The 21,676-nt window shown below is 39.3% G+C and overlaps 1 protein-coding gene and 1 long non-coding RNA gene across 18 annotated transcripts in view; one reads left to right on the top strand and one right to left on the bottom strand.

Moving 5' to 3' along the window:
• C10orf90 (chromosome 10 open reading frame 90) overlaps nucleotides 1-21,676 on the bottom strand; it is a 245,697-nt gene that overhangs the window by 57,130 nt on the left and 166,891 nt on the right. The window contains exon 1 of one of the 16 annotated variants that reach the window (XM_047424564.1): nucleotides 14,532-17,073. The exons of 14 other annotated variants lie outside the window; for them this stretch is intronic. In XM_047424564.1, the coding sequence (XP_047280520.1) occupies nucleotides 14,532-14,553 (22 nt within the window). In that variant the 5' untranslated portion in view covers nucleotides 14,554-17,073. Of the gene's footprint in view, nucleotides 1-14,531; nucleotides 17,074-20,718; nucleotides 21,157-21,676 lie in introns of those variants that run through there. One more of the 16 variants, NM_001350923.2, reaches the window with a different exon arrangement.
• LOC105378549 (uncharacterized) lies at nucleotides 14,885-21,059 on the top strand. 2 transcript variants are annotated; one of them, XR_001747637.3, is made up of 3 exons: nucleotides 14,885-14,971; nucleotides 18,789-18,859; nucleotides 20,980-21,059. It is a non-coding gene; the product is annotated as an uncharacterized LOC105378549 (long non-coding RNA). The 2 variants fall into 2 exon arrangements; XR_001747636.2 differs by lacking the exon at nucleotides 14,885-14,971 and adding an exon at nucleotides 17,571-17,766.

The raw sequence follows: 21,676 nt of genomic DNA on the forward strand, positions 1-21,676 counted from the left end.
GCTTTGGATCTTCATCTTCAAGACTCCCGTGTCATGTAAAACTAGGATTAAATAAATGTGCTATGCTTTTGTCTTGATAACCTTTCTTTTGTTATAGGGGTATCAGTCCTGACTCTTATGAGGGGGAGGGGAAAGGGATCACTCCTTTTCTGCCCCTATACTATGAATCTACTTGGCTGAATGGAACAGGTGGCAGGATGCAGGGTTGAGTGCAGCATAGCCTAGTGAGCAATTGCCATGAGCAACAATGCAAATGTACAGATTCCATCAGAACCATTTCACATGACCCTCAAGGCCTGCCCTTTTCCACTCTGAAACTTGTATAAACTAAATGGCAAACTTGACTAATTCCAACTTCACCTTCTCTCTCTGCACCTTGCCTTCACAGAAGCACAGGTGAGCAGGAAATTAGACAAAAGCCAGGTGTGCAGAAGAGTGGGAATGGAGAAGCTGAGAGCTCAATTGCACTGTCACTGAGATCATTTACTCCCTAACTAGCTAGTAGTAGCCCTTATGACTTTTCCCTGGATTAAAATTACACATTTTCCATTTCTGACATGACCACCAGCTCAGCCACATGAGGGCAATTTTCAGGAAGGAAGCAGCAGATCAGCTTCCCAGGCCATGCAGACCAGACACCAAGCTCTGGTGTGTCATTAGGGAAAACAAGATGATCAGGCTTTCTCTGAGGTTAGAAGAGGAGTGTGCATTTCCTTGCAGGAAAAAAGAATCCAAGTTTTGGGAAAATTTCTCTGCTGGAAAAGGAGTTAAGGAACAAGGAGTTAAGGAGTTAGGCTTGGGGGACCCTTAATTTTAAGTTATCTGCATTTGGGACATTAGGTACTCTTGCTGAATAATACACAACACCCAGATATTCAATGCATTTCTAAAGAAAATTGCCTTCTAGAATATATTGCTGGCTAAAATAACACAGTGCATGACAGTTATAGTGTGTGAATTATATCTCCATGAAATTGTTAACAAATGAATCTTTATAAAAGACAAACAGCTCACCAGGTTGATAGCCTGTGGCCAGCAGATTCTGAACCAGGCAGGAACAGAAAAGGACTTGCCAAAGGCAAACCAAGAGCATTTCATTCTTCGCAGGTGAGCCTAAGTGAAATACACTGTTTCATACTTGGCATTCTGGTCTTTGCTAGTCTTTTGACTTGTACTCTAATTTCTTTTGGTTGAGAAACTAATTCAACTCAGCTGCAGAGACTCCAAGTTTTGTGCTTTAAGTTTTATAATGTAATTAAGGATTCACATCCAATTATATCATGTGAAAAATCCTCTCTCAATCCTTTCTCTACTAATCCTAGACTCCATGCCTTGTGTGCTGACTTGATCTATACTCAGGAGAAAAGCAGAAAGCTCATTTGCAAGCATCGAGCTGAGCTTGAAATGATCGGTGATATTTTAGCCTAGTCAACATTGTCTGAAAATACATGCATTCCTTTTGTTTGTGATTTGAGATCATAAGATGTATTCTTATAAGGTAATCCTTAAAAAGGAGGACTGCGTCTTCAGAATAAGACTTCAGCATTAGCTCTATAAGCATAGATTTCATGCCAACCAGATGCAGGTATTGTCACTTCTCTCTTAGCAACCCTTCAGAGGCCCCAGAGTGAGGCCTGAAATCTTTGGTGTGGATAGCCTCACATGCTGGGTCCTAAACTTCCAATACCATATTCTATTTGCCACCCATCAAGTTCACGGTGATCCAAGAATGGGTTCTGTTTGTCATTCTCCAAGACTGTGCATTTCTGTGTCTGCTGTGGGTTGCTTCCACCCTGGGATGCACTTACCCATCCCACTCATTGAAAATCAACCCCCTGACCCCACCTTGCTCTGTAGGCTCAACAGAGGCTTTGGATATTCCATAAGCCTGACATTGACTCATTTTGCAAATGTCATTGCTGGTAGACCTTCTCTCCTCTCTTTCTCTCTCCTGTCTGTGTGCATCTTGGGGCAAAGAAAGTTATCCTTCTCTTCACTGTATCATAAAGCACAGTAATTCATATGCCTTCTATATTTAATAAAACTTTAAACTCTGTTATTTTTGCATCCCAGTTCTCTTCATGAATACGCCAATTCCCTCTAGATTCATCATTATTTTGAGTCGTCACAACTACCGCAATTCTCTAAAAACAAAATAAAAGTTAGAATAATAAAAATGTAAAGCACAAGTTCAAAAGGATTTAGGGGTCCCTATACACCGACTCAAATGGTACAAGTTAACCACTGTGGTCCCTAATGATGTAAAAGAGTTAATACACTAACAACTCCAAAAAAAACCCTAACACCAAGACCATTTCTTAAGTAGGAAATATACATGGCCAATACATGAAAAAGTCCTGCTTTATTTGTGAGTTGATATTAGACAAAAATAATGTATTTTTCACCTATCAAATTAGTAAAGTGTAGAGATATATACACTCAATTCTAGAGAGACTAGAGGGAGGCAGAAACTCTCCTACATTGCTAATGGCAGCGCACATTACCACGATACTTTTTAAGGCAATTAGTAACATAGAATCCAAAGCCTTAAAAATGTTCATATCATTTACCTAACAATTCCTCTTCCAGGAATATAGCTTAAGAACATAAACATAGGTATAGTCAAAGTTTTACACATACAGATATTAAGAATTATTTATAATGGTGAAAAAATAGGAATCAAGCTAAATACCCAACATTAGGAATATAGTTTAAAAGTTCATATCATCATATGATCTGAATATTAGTTATTTCGTATGTTTGAAAATAACTTTTAATAACAGGGAAAACAGGTCACTCTAATTCGTGGCTTAATTAAGAACTGTGACAATATTAGAAAAAGCCTAACAATGTGAGCAAAAAGGAATCTTCAAGAATAGACATGGTACAATGGACTGAAGTTCATGTTCGTACCAAATTCATATGGTGAAGCCCTAATCTCAGTGTGATATTATTAGGAGGTAGGGTTCTGGGAGGTAATTAGGTCATATGGGTGGAGCCCTCATAAATTGGATTAGTGACTTTATAAGCAGCAGCCAGTGAGCTAGCTAGCTCACTTTCTACAATGTGAGGACACGACAAAAACTCAACAGTCCACAATAGGAAGTGGGCCTTCACCAGAACCCGACCATGCTGGCACCTGGATCTCAGACTTCCAGTCTCCAGAACTGTGAATAATAAATTTGTGTCGTTTATAAGCCATCATGTCTATGGCACTGTGTTATAGCAGCATTAATAGACTAAGACATCCCATGTAAGTCCACTTGTATAAATGGACTTCATGAAATTCATTATTAAATGAAGAGGCACACCATCTTTATATAGAAAAACTAACAATGCAATGATGACGATTAAACTCATCTTTGAATTTAATTTTTTTAAAAGAGCAAAAAAGTCCTAACTTTTTTATGGATGGCCAACTTAACATTCTAGTGGGAAAAATAGATTTAGGAAATCTTTTATTTCCTGCCATTTGGTAGACTAGATATCACAAAAATTCTTGTGCTCTGAAGCAAATAAAAACCTTGGAAATGGCCGGGCGTGGTGGCTTAAGCCTGTAATCCCAGCATTTTGGGAGGCCGAGGTGGGCGGATCATGAGGTCAGGAGATCGAGGCCATCCTGTCTAACATGGTGAAACCCTATCTCTATTAAAAAAAAAAAATACAAAAAATTAGCCGGGCGTCGTGGTGGGCACCTGTAGTCCCAGCTACTCAGGAGGCTGAGGCAGGAGAATGGCATGAACCCGGGAGGCGGAGCTTGCAGTGAGGCGAGTTCGCGCCACTGCACTCCAGCCTGGGGGACAGAGCAAGACTCCATCTCAAGAAAAAAAAAAAACCTTAGAAATAAGTATAAAGACATGTTTAAAAATATATGGCTCAGCTGGCAAGAATGTAAGGAAATACTTCGGAGGCCAAGAAGAAAACTGGAGAACAAATCCAACTGCCTTGGGGGCCACTGCTGATTTTCGGTCCCTTATAGTTTTGAATTTAATGTCAAATAGAGGACAGGGGACTAAACATGGGACCTGAGAATGTAGGAAGTCAGACTGGAAATCCCTGCATAAAGACTCAATTTATAATCATAAGCTAGTCCCCTTTCAGACTTGGGGCCAAAAGTTCACACAACCTGCTTACTGTGGACAACCACAAGCTGGAAATTTAGCAAGAAGTAAGCCCAGCTGAGAGAAGCATGGAAATCCCATCTGAAGGAACTTATTCTCAACCCAGAAAATTTTCACAGATAAAGTCCCAATAAACATGAGCTCAGGATCATAGTAACAATATATATGGACCAGAAATCTTAATAATATAAGAAACAACTTAAGCAAAAGTCAGTAGAGACACCAAACTGCAGAAGCAGACACACATATGCCTCAGATAAAAAATACATAAAAATATTAGTTTATGTCCTGTATTTTCATCTTAGAAATAAAAAATACTGGATATAAACTAATATGTTTAAAGGCATAAAATAATTAATTTATGAATGAAGAGCATGAGACTATAAAGATTACCAGAGTGATTTCAAAAGAGCTAGAAAGCACTTTTATAAACAAAAAATGTGCTAATTGAAGTTAAAACTCAGATGACTTTAGATACAAGTGAAACTAGAATTAGTGAAGTAGAATATTAATCTAAAAAATTTAATGAAAGCATCATAGAAAGTCAAGAAATTGAAAATGGGAAATCTGTGAAAATGGGAAAGACAGGTTAGAAGGAAGAAAAATAGAATGAGGCCAGCAGCACTGGCTCATGGCTGTAATCCCAGGACTTTGGGAGGCCAAGGGGGGTGGATCACCTGAGGTCAAGAGTTCTGGACCAGCCTGGCCAACATAGTGAAACCCCATCTCTACTAAAAATACAAAAAAAGTAGCTGGGTGTGGTGGCAGGTGCCTGTAATCCCAGCTACTTGGGAGGCTGAGGCAGGAGGATCACTTGAACCTGGGAGGTAGAGGTTGCAGTGAGCCAAGATGTGCCATTATACTCCAGCCTGGGCAACAACAGTAAAACTCTGTCAAAAAAAAAAAAAAAAAAAAAAAAAAGAAAGAAAGAACAAAAGAACGACATAGTATAAAACACACCTAATCAGAATTCTGAAGGAGATAATAGAGGAAATAAAGGAGGGGAAATAAATGGCTGCAAAATTTCCAGAAGGAATAAAGACAAAATCCATCAGATTCACTAAGGATAACACATCATTAAAAGAACCAAAAAGAAATCCACTTTAAATACATTGTAATGAAGCATAACACTAAGCACAAAGGGAAGATCTCAAAAACAGCCAGAAGAGGTATGAAGGTATAATAGTTAGACATATAGCTGCCTTCTCCATAGCAATAGTGGAAGCCAAAGACACTAGGATATTTTCAAAGGACCTAACAGAAAATAATTGTCAACATACCTTAGTATGTTAGTCTATGTTACAAGGTACAGAGACTAGCACCTTGTAAAGTTTTCTTTTAAGAAAACAGTAAAACAAAGATGTTTTTAGGATTTCCACTTTCTCCCAAGCCATCGGAAATAATTTACCACCAAAAGTCCCTCCACTTTGATGCACCACCAAAAGGAACATGTAAAATATGTACTTTAGGAAGGTAAAAATTGATAAGATCTGCGTGCACAAGGGAAAGAGAAGCAAAGGCAATGGTAAACATAAGGTAAATCTAAATATTGTATAATATAAAAGGAAAGTCCAATTTGTGAGAATCAAAAAGCAAAACAAGATACAACTAAAACATATAATAGCAGTAGTATCTCTGTTTGAGGGGATGATGAGAAGTAAAGTATTCTAAGATTCTAACTTGCTCCAGAGATAAGTAAAAATATTGATTAAATTTTGGCCTTGATGAGTTCACGTTACAATTTTTAGCTGGTCACTAAAATAATAGAAATAAAGAGTATAACTCCCAACTATCACAGACAAAAAGTGGAATGAGAAAAAAATTAATTCGATACAAGGAAGGATCAAAAGAAAAAGAGGTAAGACAAATAGAAAAACCTAAATAATAGGGTAGAAATAAATCAACACATATCAGTTATCAAAATAAATGTAAATGGCCTAAATTTTCTACAAATGTATGATAATAACTAGCAAAGTTTTGCAAAAATGTAGTAATCAGCATCTTGCCCTAAAGGATATTAAAGTTCATGATGAAGACATAATTAAAACAAAGGGGATATTTATGAGTATATGCAGAAAATATTTTGAGATGAATAAAAATGAAAACAATACATACCAAAATTAGAAGGAAATTATAGCTTCAAATTAGTGTATGAAAATGTTTGATATAAGCATTTGATCTAAGCTTTTTAAGAATCTACAAAAAATAAGAGGAACAAATACAGGACAAAATAAATAAACAAATAGAAATAAGAAAGCTAAAAGCAGAAATCAATATAAAAGAAAATTGACAAACAATAGAGAAAATCAATAAAATAAAACCTGGATATTTGGGGAAAAAATCAATAAAATGGACAAACCTGTAGCTGGACTGATAAGGGCAAAAGAAAAGACAAAACTATCATTATCAGGAATAGATTAGAGGACATCACTGAAGATCTTAGGATAATAGAAAAACACTATGAACTTTATGCCAATAATTTAAATAACTTTGATAAAATGGCAAATCCCTTGAAAGACACAGAAGATTGCCAAAACAGACTTATATGAGATGGCAAATTCCTTGAAAGACACAAATTGCCCAAACACTTAAGAAGTAGAAACCTGACTAGTCATACAGCAAATAAAAAATTGAATTCATAATTAAAACCTTTCCCACAGAGAAAACTTCAGGCCAGATGACTTCATGGGTGATTTCTACCAAACACTTACAGAAGAAATAGTTCCAATCCTCTAAAATCTCCTTCGGAAACAGAGGAGGAGAGAACGTTTCCCAGTTCATTGTATAAACCTTTTTCCTGATACCAAAATCAAAAATATTTTTAAAAAGAAAACAACATACCAATATTCCTCACAAACATAAATAAAAAAAATCCCCCAAAATATTAGCAAATAGAATCCGGCAATATATTTATTTTTTAAAAGTATAATGGATCATGACCAAATAGTTATCCTGGAAATAGTTAATGTAACATATGAAAAAATCAATGTAATTCCCCATATTTATAAAATGAAGAAAGAAAATCCCATTATTATTCTACAGGTGCATAAAAAGCACTTGTCAGTATTCAACACCAATGCATAAAAAAGTTCTCAAATTAGGAATAGAAACAACAACGATTAAAAACACCCCAAAAAACCTGAATAAAAATGGGCAAAGGACTTGAATAATTGTTGCTTCAAAGAAAATATACAAATGACCAACAAAAACATGGAAAGATGTTCAGTTATTACTAGGAAATCACTAGGAAACTGCAAATCAAAACCACAATGAGATAACACTTCCCACCTATCAGGATGGATATTAATTGAAAAAACAGAGCACGACGAGTGTTGGTGAAGTTGTGGAGAAATTAGAACCCTTGTGCATTGCTGGTGGGGATGCCAAATGGAGCAACCACTATGGAAAACAGAATAACAGTTCCTCAAAATATCAAAAATAGAATTTTCATATGATCCAGTAATTCCACATTGGGGCATATACCCCAAAGAATTGAAAGCAGAGACTTAAAGATGTACTTGCATATCCCTTGTGCAGCATATTAATAACATTATTCATACTAGTCAAAAGGTGGTAGCAACCCAAGTGTCCATCAACAGATGAACGGGTAAACAAAATGTGGTACATACATACATAGAATATTAGCCCTTTAATACATATACATGCATACAATTGGAGGCTAAAGAGGGGAATATATGCCACATATCTGTGTGTGTGTATATATACATATAATATATATATAATATATATTATATATTATATATATTATATATAATATATAATATATAATATATATTATATATTATGTTATATAATATATAATATATAATATAATAATAATATATAATATATAATATATATGTATATAATTATTTAATTATATGTATATTATATATACATATAATTAGAATATACACATGCAGTTAGAATACAATTAGAATATCAACCTTAACAGGAAAGAAATTCTAACGCATGCAACGGCATAAATGAACCCTGAGGACATTAAGTAAAATAAGCCAATCACAAAAGAACAGATATTGTACGATTTCACTTATATGACATACCTAGAGTGGTCACATTCACAGACAGAAAGCAGAGTGGTCATGGCTTCCAGAGAATGGGGAGTTAGTGTTTAATGGGGAGTTAGTGTCTAATGGGAAGTTAGTGTTTAATGGGGAGTTAGTGTTTAATGGGGAGTTAGTGTTTAATGGATGTATGGGTGGTGGCTTCCAGGGAATGGGTATATAGCGTTTAATGGGTATGTGGAGTTTACAAGATGAAAAGAGTTCTGGAGATGGATGGTGATGATGGTTGCAAAACAGTATGAATGTACTTAATGCCACAGAACTGTACGCTTACAACTTGTTAAAATGGTAAACTTTATATTATGTGTATTTTATCAAAATTTAAAAAAAGAAGAAAGAACTAGGCATAAAAGGAAACTTCCTCAACCTGGTAAATTCTCTCTAAATAGATATAGAGAGAATCTATATATCTCTATTTTTGAAAATCCCCACAGCTAACAAAGGATAAAGGCGAGGATGTTCCCTCCCATCACTTCTACTCAACATTGTACGAAAAGCCTTACCTAGAGCAATAAGGCAAGAATAAAATAGAAGTCATCAAAATGGGAAAAAGTACGTAAAAAAATTGTTCCTATATAATATTATTACATAGAAAATCCTAAGGAATCTACAAAAACACTACTAAGTGCATGTAGCAAAAGCTGCAGGATTCAGTTCCCATACAGAAATGATATATCTCCGTAAGTAAGCAGAAAAGCTGGAAAGGAAATTTTTAAAAATCTGTATCAGTCATTTATACTAGCATTCAGAATATAAAATAGGTAAGGATAAATTTTGCAAAATATGTAAATGATCTCTATAATGAAAACTACAAGACTTTGCTGATAGAAATTAAAGATTCATGCAATGACATGGAAGAATTTCAAAAGCATTAGCCTGAGTGAAAGAAATCATACACAAAAGAGTATGCTCAATTTGCTTCAATTTATATAGATTCTAGAATAGTGACAGAAAGATCAGTGGTTTCCCAGGACTGGGGGTGAAGGAAGATTGAATGCAAAAAGATTAAACCTTTTTAAGGTGACAGAAATCATCTATATCTAATTGTGGTTAGTTACATAGGTATATACATAAAATGTGTGCACTTTAATATAAGTATATTATGTCTCCAAATAGCCAATGTAAAAGGAAAAAAAACAAACAACAGAGTACAGAACCGGGTCTTTTTTAAAATATAAAATTAAAATTTGGAAAAAGTATGATGGCATCGGGATTCTCTCACTCCCTAACTCCTGCAGTAATGAAGTACGTGAAATGCTAACCATTCACACTTAGGAGCATCTGAAAGATTCCTCATCCTTCAAATCCGCAGACGGAAACAGAGGAGCTTTTGTGATTCACACAATATTCAAGTTGCGTGAGAATTTCTAGAAGGAAACAATTGTATAAGTCAGGGAAATCCTTGCATAAACAAGATATAAACCAGAATTAAATGTGTGATTGGCATTTCCAACCGGTAGAAAAATAACAAATTATCTCATCCATGGTCTGTGGACAACTGGCAAATCATTTAGGAAAAGCAGATTCCAAACTTACACTGTACAGGAAACACATCCAGAAGGACTACAGATTTAAATAAAAGTACAAGACAGGTATGCAGGTTACAGAAGTCCTTTCTAAGCCTGTCTGTGAAAAGACAAAGGGGAAAAGATGAAGAAGAAATCTGAATGTGAAAAATTACCAGAAACAGATATGATGCCTAAATGCAAGATGGCATCCTGGATCGGATCCTGGAACAGAAAAAGGACATTAGAAGAAAAACTGATAGAATCTGAATAAAGTCTGTAGTTTAGATAACAGTAGTGTACCAATATTAATTGCTTAGTTTATAAGTCAATTGTTCTCATTTGGGACCAATTTTGCTCCCTGGGGAACATTTGCCAGTGCCTGGAGACATTTTTGGTTGTGTGCTAGGGGGAGAAGGGGAGGCTCTACCAGCATCTAATGGTAGAGGCCAGGGATGTTGCCAAGCATCCTTCAGTGAAAAGGACAGCCGCCCATAATGAAGACTTATCCAGCCCACAATGTGAATAGCACCCAGGTCAAGAAACTCTGTCTCAGATAGATGTACTGTGGTTATGTAAGATGTAAATGTTAAGGGGAAGCTCAGTGAAGGATGTATGCATGGGAATGCTTTCTACTATCTCTGTAACTCTTGTTAATACAAAATTATTTCAAAATTCAAAGTTTTAAAAATTACCACAGACAACATTAAAAAGTAAAATACAGGTTATTTTCAGCATAAATACAAGTGCAAAATATGAGAACTCTGAAGAAAACTGAAGAAAATAGAGGTGACCTACAAAAGATGAAATACAGATGTACAACAAACATATGAGAACATTCAATATCTTTCTGAAAAGATGCAAATTAATAAATCATAAGTATCATTTTTCACACATCAAAATGGCATGGAGTTTTTTGTAATGACAATATCCAATACTTGTGCATGTTTAAGAAAGCTGATATGTATGTACAGATAGTGCAACTTGGAGTGTTATTTGGAAATCTAGATTAAAAAGTCTTAAATTTGTGCCTATTCTTTGACCAGAAGTTCTAGAAATCTGGCTTCAGAAAATCACATAAAATGCTCACATTTTTCTCTAAGGACATTTATCAACACATTGCTATAAAAATGTAAAATGGAAACAATCTATTTAATAAGGTTTTTAAAAAGCAGTTTAAATAAAGTTATACAATGGAAGCTCACGTAGCCATTAAACGATTAACAGGAAGTTCGTTCGACAGGTACTGGAACTTCAAAATCCATTGTTGAGAAAAGTAAGCCTTCCAAAACAGTATGTATTTTGCATAATCCCTCTTTTTTGTTGAAAAAAAAAAAAAGGAAATGAAACAAAACAAAGAAAAAGAAAAGCTTGTTGCATTTATGAGAGATTCCAAGTAATCTGTCTGGGACAATCTACTGAAATGTTAACCATGATGTTCTCTCTGGGCAGTAGGATTATGGTTGATTTTCCACTTTCCTCTTTTTGCTTATTTATATTTTAAGTTTTATAATAAACATGTTTTCCTTTTTTTTTTTTTTGAGACAGGGTCTCGCTCTGTCGCCTAGGCTAGAGTGCAGTGGCATGACCTCAGCTCACTGCAACCTCTGCCTCCCAGGTTCATGTGATTCATCTGCCTAAGTCTCGCAAGTAGCTGGGATTACAGGTGCCTGCCACCACGCCTAGTTTTTGTATTTTTAGTAGAGAAGGAGTTTTGCCATGTTGTCCAGGCTGGTCTCGAACTTCTGACCGCAGGTGATCGCCCACCTCGGCCTCACAAAGTGCTGGGATTACAGGAGTGAGCAGCCAAGCCTGGCTGTGTTTTGCTTTTTCAATAAGAAAAAATGAAGCCCTAGAAAATCAAATGAAATGAAGAAGAAACTGATTCCATTTAAATTCCTTTCTAAGCAACATTTCAGTGAATGATGCTAGACCTGGAAAGAAACCAGTTACCAGCTGCGCCAACAGCCATGGTAGGCTTTGAGGCCACAAAGTTCATGAGGGTTTTGACAGTGAATTCCATCAGCGTAAATTCTCCCTGATGTCTAGCATGCTATATCTTCCAAATGTACAACACTGTGACATTCAATGGACCACCCCTCCCCAGCTCCGCTGGCTGGGGTCTGATGCTCCACTGTTCACAGCTTTTTTGGCTCTAATTTCGGAACTGCAGTGGTCCACGTGCTCTTACATGCACAAGGATATTTATGAAGGTTCAGGAGAGGATGTCAGAGAAACTCAAAGTCATTTGTTCACTACCTACAGAGGCCATCAGATCAAAAATGCCTAAATACGACCCACCTATATGCAGAAATGGATAAGCCTCTATTTTCTTAAAACACCAGGGCCGTTCATCTGCTGAATATACACCAAAGACTTTCACATCCCACCTGAAGATTGAGTAGATTTTAAGTAAAACTGCATAAATTTCCCTTTATTTCATCAAACTTATGTATTTATAAATGGGAAAGGTAGGACAAAGCCAGGAGTGAGGTTTGCACACCAAATATCACTGTGAGAGCTCACATATTTGCAAGATATGGGCCTCAAGGTTGACTCTGAATTTTAACACACAACGAAGTGCACATTTGTTGCCCCATGGGTCAAATGCTCTGAGAAAGAAAAACTAGAGTTGTTCAGAGGATGCACGACTCTGGAAAAAAGAAAGAATTTAGATTTTTTTTCCTGTGGGGCGCACATGAATAGCATTGTCTAATGACATGAATGAGACACAGGCTCAGTGCAGGCTCTGCACCACACCAAAGCACACAGAAAACCAGCATAGTTCTGCAAGAGACCGCCATGATGCGGTCCTTGCATGCAAATGTTTCACTCAACTGAGGAAATGGTTAAGAAAAACTTTAACTTCCGATTCTATAGACAACAGCCATATAATGGACCAGTTTATATACTTCTCATCTGTATGACTTTCGCGGTTCCTACAAGGGCATTTATTTCAAGAACTGGATTAGGCAAGAGTAGGCATTTGAGGAACAGCTTCTAATCTTAAGTGACAAAGGTTGTGTTCCCTGCAAAGAGGACACCTGTCCTGTGCACCTGCCCTTCAGGCCCTCATAGGGACCTTAACGCTGAAGAATCTCCCCATTACCCATGAATAGCTGAGAAAATACACTGTAGAATGGACCTGCTTAAACTATGTTGTCAAAGTAGTTTGTTGTTAAATGCAGGAATATTTTTCATGTTGCTATCAGATGTTCTCAGATGGGCCTCATTCCCAAGCCCATGGTGCTTCTGCTAGGTTACCCTGACACTCACAGTTACTCATGTATAGACGGTGCTCTGCAGTGTCCTAATTTAATCCTAATTTATCCCCCAAACAGAGCTCTTAACCAGGGAGGCACTGACTGAGACATGTTCACTGCAGCATTGGATGAGTGTGTTTTGGTTGGGTGCAGTGGCTCACACCTGTAATCCTGGCACTTTGGGAGGCCGAGACGGGTGGATCACCTGAAGCCAGGAGTGAGTGTGTTTTGAAAACGTACCCCACCCATGTCTGATGCACCTCTCTGGTTAAGAACATCTTTTTCACACTCTCTGATAAAACCCTTGTACCACCTAAGGTCAATAGAATGCTCCAAACATAGACTGCAGTACTTTGTTTGCAGTAATGCCCTCATGGGGCTATGACCTAGCAGGGGAAATAAAAGAACATCTGATAGCAGTATGAAAAATATTTCTGCATTGAACAACAAACTACTTTGACAACATCGTTTAAGAAGAATTAATGGGCTGGCTTTACCATCTTTATTTCTTTGTTCACCAAAATTAGCTATTATTGATGAAAAGAAAATCACATTTTACAGAAAGATATGGACTTTGCTTTAAGATTATTAGGAAAAGAGAAAAACTCACCAAGTCAAAGGAATGAAACACATCATCTATTTCTCACATTTTTTGCTCTATTTTCCAGGGTCATCTGTATCTAGAATACTTTTTCTTTCAGAACTCATCATGCTACTACCACTGCCTTTTTCCAAGATCCCTTCTAAATTCACTTCCTGTGGACAGCTTGGATGATACTGAAGACTAATGATAATTACAAAATGGTTTGAGTCCCCACCATGAGCCCAACTGCTCGGCACTCTTTACGTAAATTACCTTGTAAAGGACAAGCAAGCAACTGGTGGAGTATAAATGGAGCCTCAGATGGGCCCCATTCCCAAGCCCGTGGTGCTTCTTCTAGGTTACCCTGTTACCCACTGTTACTCATGTATAGACAGTTGCTCTGCAATATCCCTAATTTAAAAGATCAGCCCATTACCTGGTCAGCCTGCTTCAGGCTTTGAATCCATTTCTTTTAATCTATTCCTGGCAAACCTGAGTAAATGGCCCATTAATAATGACTCTCTCCTAAACAGTGTAGGGACACCCCCTATTCATATAACTGAAAGAGTTACTCAGAGAAAAAACAAAAAACAAAGCCATTCTCTCCACGAAGCTAGCCGGGATGGCTGACATGAGCAACCTTTAGATACCATATGGACTCTTGGGAATGATCTGGAAACCGTGTTTATGATGAGGAGGAAAATGACACAATCTCATCAAGACTTATCAAGAGATAAATAAAACATTCTTAGAAACCTTCAAAATATTTTTGCAACATTGCTTATATATTTTCTCTTCTTTAACATTACATTTGACCACATGAAGGACAATAAAGTTGTTCCTTGACAATACTTGATTATTCTTACCGAGTTCCTAAAGGGAAACAATATTTTGAGACATTTCCCCCGCCACCCTCCACTTCAATTTTAAACCAAGTGGGGATTCTAGTTTTAACTTTACTTTTCACAACCTACCTCTTGGCGGTGAGTCTTTCATCGCTCCTCACCCTTTCCTTGCCAGAGAGGTTTTGAATATGGGGATGGGGAAAGGTAGTTTGAGGAAGGAAACACATCAAGCACTTAAGGGATCGTGACATAAGCATGGGCTTTGTTGGGTCATCAACGTAACCTGTCCTCCACCCAGCCCACAGGTCGAGGGCACCCACTCTGTGAGCCATTGCTCCCTGGCTCCCTACTGGGTAAGATGAGGTCAATGCCAATGACTCAGTTGAATCCTGCCGTCCAGGAATGTGCAGTGTGCAAGTATAACAATGACCTCTACAAAATAGCAAATGCATCATATTAAAAGGCTGCTACCTGCATAGCAAGGAGACCAGGTCTGAGTTATGTGTCACCATCGCAGAACCAGAGAAGAGCCCAGTGTCTGGTACCACAGCTGACACGATCAATGTCAAGTGAGTGAGGGGAGGCTGTTGCGGTGCCAGCAGGAGGTGCCAGGGCCCTGCTTATTGAATCAAAATGACCAGCACAGGAGCACCTGTTCTTGCTGCTGATGGGAAAGGTGGCAGGCAAGCTGGAGGCCAAGGTTGAATTGCAGTGGGCACCTGCTCTTCTGGGACAGGAAGAGAGTCAGAGCGAGACAGGATGGTATTGGTCAGAAAAGGTGAAGAGTAAACAACGCAGGGAGGCTGAAAGCTCTTCCGGGACAGGAAGAGAGTCAGAGCGAGACGGGATGGTATTGGTCAGAAAAGGTGAAGAGCAAACAACGCAAGGAGGCTGACAGCTCTTCCCTTTGACTCTGAGCATCGCTTCTTCACCACGTTCTAAGAATCGACCAGAGAAGCTGGCTTGTCTGACAGCTCCTGTTGCAGAAAACCATAGGCCCCAAAAATGGATAAATTAACAAACAAGGAGAGCAGAATTCACAAGATGATCTTGTCCACCTCTCTAATTCCACAGATGGAAAAAACAGAGACCTCGCAGGCAAGTGACCTGCCCAAAGTCACCCAGAGGGTCTGCCCTGGAGCAGGGGGGGTCACACATTTCTTCAGAAAAGGCCCAGATAGTAAAAATGTTAGGCTTTGTGAGCTATAAGGTCTCTGTCCCAACTACTCAACTTTGCTGTTGCAGTATGAAAGCAGCCACAGAACAATGCATAACTAAATTGGCATGGCTATTTTCAATACAACTATTTACAAAAACAGGCAGCAGGCTGGACTCGGCCTCCTGGTGGTTTGCTCATGCCTGCCATAGGGCTGCTGCTACATACCAGGGGCTGAGTTCTTGTCCATTCATCAGCTGATTCTAACACTCTCTGGGTTACTTGTTGTTAACAATGAAACAAAACACAAAAACTCATTCTGCTCAATTCTTCTGGCTTCCCTAAAGATAAGAAAAGACCATCGTAAGATTGTTTACCTGATTCTCAACCATGCACCCAATTCATTAGGAAGAACTGGGTAGTTGTGGTGTGAATGTCCACCAGCCAGCAGCAGAAAGGCTTTGCGTCTAGTGGTGGAAGCTCTGCAGGGTAGAGGCGGCTCCAGAAAACCTGGAGGGGTTAGGCACATGGGCAGGCCCTTGGAGTCAGTGTGGGACTGCCAAACCATCTGATCCATTGGCAAACCTTGTTGATCTACCCTGAACACATAGCCCCAGAATCTGACCACTTCTCAATACCTTCACTCCTGCCACCCTTTCCAAGTCACTGCCCCCACTCCTGGACAATTGTCCAATATATATTTGCTGAATGAACAAACATCAAGAGTGAGAGAGTGGAATTCTGCACTAGCCTCCTCATACGGGTGCTAAGGTCTATAGCCCTCACCACCACCCCCTGCCCCAGGTCTAGCCTAGCAAGATCCTTGACTTGTTTCAGAGCATTATGGAGTCACAGAGCGGAAAACGCAGACTGAATGGCAGAATGGCCATTCAGCAGTGTGATGGACACTGTATTACACTGCTCAGATCTCCCTTCAGGAAAGAAGAGCTTCTTCCCCCAGCTGCTGGAAGTCCTGTAGGAAGAGTGCCCTCGGCGGCGATCCACCCTATAGGAATTGGCTGACTGAAGAGAGCTGCCTCACCCAAGTTCACATATCTTCCTGGGGAATATAAGGGCCCAGGCCCTTATGGCAACTCAGAATAACCTTGAAGGGCCATCCCAGATTCAGAGTTCCCTGAGTGGCTGGCAGAGGCCTTGCTTATGACTGCACCGCAGAACACCTTCTCCCTCTGCCCAGTCCTGCTTCCCTTCCTGGATGTCATATCCCAGAACACTCCCCAGTAAATGCCCTACCCATTCATCTCCACCTCAGAGTCTGATTTCTAGAGAATCCAACATGTAATACTGGGGAACAGGGTAAAGTTTACCTTGGGGGATGGATTTATTTGAATGCTAGACCAGAAGTCAGTAAATTACAGACTGCAGGCCAAATCTGGCCCACTGCTTGTTAGTGTAAATAAAGTTTTATTGGCAACAGCCACATTTATGTATTTATGCATTGTTGATGGCTGATTTTGCACTACAACAGCAAGTTGTCTCCTGCTGTGCCCTTCTCAGTGACAGCCCCAGACAGAACAGTTAAGATGGTGGTGACTCAATGGCAGGCCCCATCTCCACTGCCACTATCAAAGGTGGTATCTGAACACTGTTGCTAGTTGAGTAGTTGCTACAGAAACCATATGGCCCGCAAAGCCAAACACATATTTTCAATCTGGCCCTTCACAAACAAAAGGGAAAAAGAAAAGTTTGCTGATCCCAATTCTAGATCATTGAAGAAAAAAAATCACATTTGTAAAATATCTTCTGGTCCCTCTAGTAAAAAAAGTCCTCATGGGATGAGAGTGGGAGTCTAATGCAGGCTTCTCCCCTACAGGTAGGCTTGGCTTGTGTGTACATGGTTTGTTATCTGCCCTTGAGTGGCGTAAGTGAGATAAGCCTCACTCGCTATTAATGTGGCAGACCATACCATCTAAGTGTGAGTAGGCACAGTGCTCATTTGGAGACCTGGCAAGGACTTCTGCCTTCCAGTCATCCACATCTTTATTCACTAGTGATGCTAAACTCCACCGAGGACATCTCAGACCAATGCCACCAAAGCCTGTGAACTGACTGAGGGAGTTGCAACATGGGCCCACCATAGAACGCGAACGCAAATAGATGTGGACAGCGTATTCACTAGTCTCCTCTTCAATAGCATCTACCATCATCAGAAGATTTTGCTCCCTCTACTTGGATATCTCAGAAATGGTAAAAAGCTTCAGATTTAAGCCACAGATGCACAATAAAATTGGCAGTAAGAAATGTGTCTAAGTCAATAGTGAGTCAGGCATGCACATCCGGTGAGGTGGGAACCATTTGGATCAACACTGTATATTTCACAGACCACCACAAAGAACTGGATTTCAGGCTGAGGAGGATTTCTGAGCCAATACATTTTAATCGCATAAAATGATATGGCTTATTACATTTTTTCATAAATTAACTTGCAGTTCACTCTCCTAATAGTCTACCGGGGTAACTGGCAACCAAATACCAGTATTACTCCAGATGTTCATAAGCAGCCTTCAGATACCACCTTTGGTAGTGGCAGAGGAGGTGGGGCCTGCCGTTGAGTCACCACCATCTTAATTGCCCTGCCTGGGGCTGTCACTGAGAAGGGAACAGCAGGAGACAAGTACACAGCTCTAGCACCAATTGGCCACGTGGACTTGGGCAAATCATTTAATCTTCAAGCCTCATTTGTGTTGTGTGAAAAATAAAGATAATGATACTCTTTACAGATGGTTGAATGATTCAAAATAATGGATGCAGCCCAGGGCCTGGTGCCTAGGACTTCTAGAACATATGTTGTGGTTATGAATAAGATGATGATGATGACGATGATGATGGTGATGATGACAAGAATGGGGATTAAATTTTTTATGATAGATTCGAAGATTTGCCCAATGCCCACCTACTTGGTGCTATCTGAATGCTTACCAGTAGTAGAGATGTAAAGACAAAACATACAGGGACTGAGGAGATGAGCAAAGAGAGAACCAATTTCTTAACATTCAGCCTGAGATGAGAGCAGGTGCTCACGCGTCTATTGGAATGCTATGTCTCAGTAGAAACAGCTATTTGAATTGCATGATGTGCTTGTGTCTCATTTTTCCTCATCTTCTCTTTTGGGTGCATATCCTGGAGGCTCATTCATGAATACAATTTGTAGAACTTTCTGTCCAACGACCTAATGACTAGAACTAAAATTGCTTTGCCTCTGTTTGTAGAATTGCCCAGGCTGTACCCACCAAGCAGCTGAATGTCAGTAAGCCAGCCAACAGAAGATCCTGCTCATGAGGTATTTTGGAATCCTTCAGATACAAAGAATCAGATTCAGTAACTATGAAGTAAGAAGACTGCTAATAGCATGTGTAACCACAGGAGGCTGTCAAGAATGTCTCAGATAGGATTCCAGTTTCAGACAGGAAAATATAAACAGTTCCTCTGAGTTTTAATGAGCACTGCTGCAGTCTGAAAGCTCTTGCATTAAGGCTAAAGGTTTTGTGGAATCTGAAGGTCAGCAAGCTCACCCTCCACACGTTGTGCAGGCTGTGCAAGGACAGCCCGTGGTCATTAGAGTCAATGAGCTGTGCTGGTAAATTTCAGGCCAGAATTCTACAGCATGGACAGATGTGCTTTCTTGTCACCTGAGAAGAAATAGAGTCCACTGGAAATTATTTCTGAGTGAGGGAGCACACAGCCAGGGGTGCACGTGTAGGTGAAGGTGTGCATTTGTAGGCATCCGAGGCAAGTGCCCCACAGCACACCCCAGGGCTCTGTGGCTTTGGACTTTGCAACTGAGGGGTCCAGAATCCCACGGAGCCTCTTTTCTTTACAGAGTCCACCTTGGGCAAATAGAGCTGAAATTTTTTAAGCTTGATGGGACCTCGAAAACACCCAATCTACCCCCTGCTCTAGTTACCCAGATGAGGAGTTCAGAGAGTATCACTCCTCCACATTCACTGAGCTAGAAATAATAGATCAGCAACTCCACAAAAAGTTCTTCCAAATGTGGTCTATATATACACCATGGACTACTACTAAGCCATTAGAAGGAATGAAATCATGTCTTTTGCAGCAACTTGGTTGAAGCTGGAGGCTATGATTCTAAGTGAAGTAACATAGCAGTGGAAAGCCAAAAACCGTATGTTCTCATAAGTGGGAGCTAAGCTATGAGTACGCAAAGGCATACAGAGTGATATGATGGACTTCAGAGACTCAGAAAGGGGAGGGTGAGAGGTGGGCCTAGGGATAAACACACACACACACACCACATATACACCACACACACACACCACACACGCATACACACACACCACACACACACACCATACACACACACCACACAACCACACACCCACACCACACACACGCACACACACACCACACACACACACCACACAACCACACACACACCACACACACACACACCACACACACACAACACACACACACACTAGGTGCAATATACACTACTTGGGTGACGGGTGCCCTAAAATCTCAGAATTCACCACTGTAAAATTCATCCATGTAACCAAGAACCACTTGTACTCCCAAAGCTACTGAAATTGTAAAAAAGGTATTCAAGACTCCCCTGGTGTCTGTGACTATCTCTTTCCTCAAATGGTAGAATGAAGCCTCATGGCTTAAAGCCACTGAAACGCTTCACATGTGAATCTTTGGGATCTGTGCTTTTTCTGGGGGATGTTGGCCTGCAGGATGCAGAATAAATTTATACTATTTGCCTAAGATAATCCCTTAGAGGAGCAGTCATTTCACAAAATCACAATCAAAAATCTTCTCTGCACCACCAAAGCCAAAAAGTAAGTTGGGGGAAGTGTCCACACTCTTGCTGCCCTCCTCTGAGATGAGTGTATGAGTGTTTGAGATCTGGCTCTCATTATTAATGAAGAGCCTTTGGTGAAAAGTACTATAAATCCAAATTATTATTTCACACCATGACACATGGTTTAAAAATGAGGATGTGCTTTAACTGGGGTAACATACAACAATGCAGTGGTGTATTTCTGGAATCATCATCAATAAGGAAGACGAAGTGCTTAGCTTGAGCAATCTCTTTAACCACTAAAGTGGGATTTATCTTTGGAACATTGATAGCTGCTTATGTTGTCCTTCTTGTAATAAGTCTGTAAGACATGCATTTCAATGGTTTAATCAATCTGAAAGCCATGCCAAAATTGCCTTAAAAATCTCTGAGCATTCAATATTTCAATATATATACAGTTGTTAAAATTAATTACATCATTTAACATTTCTATACACATTATAACTTTAAATGTTTTACAGTCATTTTTATTAATAAAGCTTTAATGAATAAAAGTTGTACCGTAAAATTATGATGCATATCCTGCATTTTCAATTGTATACTAATATCTTTAAATACTTTTTTCCAAATAGAAAGTAATTCATAAACCAGAGCCTCTTGCAGAAAGCAAAGTTGAAAATCAGAAGTTTACACAGAGAAAGAAAGAAATCTGGCCTCTTTCTTCCAAAAAATGCCTGCTTTCCTCTTTTGATTTCCCAAGAAAGGTGCAGAGTCCTCAGGGCAACCCATCCTGGGAATTCTTCCCGGCCCTGGAAATGGCAGAAACAGCAACAAATCCTGGTCAAGATGCCCCAGAAGACAAAACCAGGGGGACAGAAAATTGCTGCTGCTGCTGCTACTACTATTTGGCACAGAGAGTCCCTGACTTGCCTAATTTAGAAAATGTCCTATAATTATTATACACGCACACACGCACACATTCACATACACACATTCACACTTACACGCTCCATTATGAAGCTTTGCAGTCTAGCTTTTATATCAATGAGGCTAACTTGAAAAGTAGAAAGTACAGAAATCTGGACACTTCCAAACACGCAGATGTTTGGCGAGAGAGATGAAACATCTGGGGGCGAATGGCATTTCATTCTTCTCACCCTCTTTTGGAACGCAATTTGGGCATGTTGTAAATTAACTTCCTTTGGAGGCCCTCATTTCCTTCTCATTACATATGGTCTGGAACTATTGGGAACAAGAATTTGACAGAAGGCCTCTTACAATCTACAAAAGTCTCAACTAAAAAAATCTATCCAATCAGACATCGATGCC

The sequence above is a fragment of the Homo sapiens genome, chromosome 10, assembly GCF_000001405.40.
Source record: "Homo sapiens chromosome 10, GRCh38.p14 Primary Assembly".
Classification (NCBI taxonomy): Eukaryota; Metazoa; Chordata; class Mammalia; order Primates; family Hominidae; genus Homo; species Homo sapiens.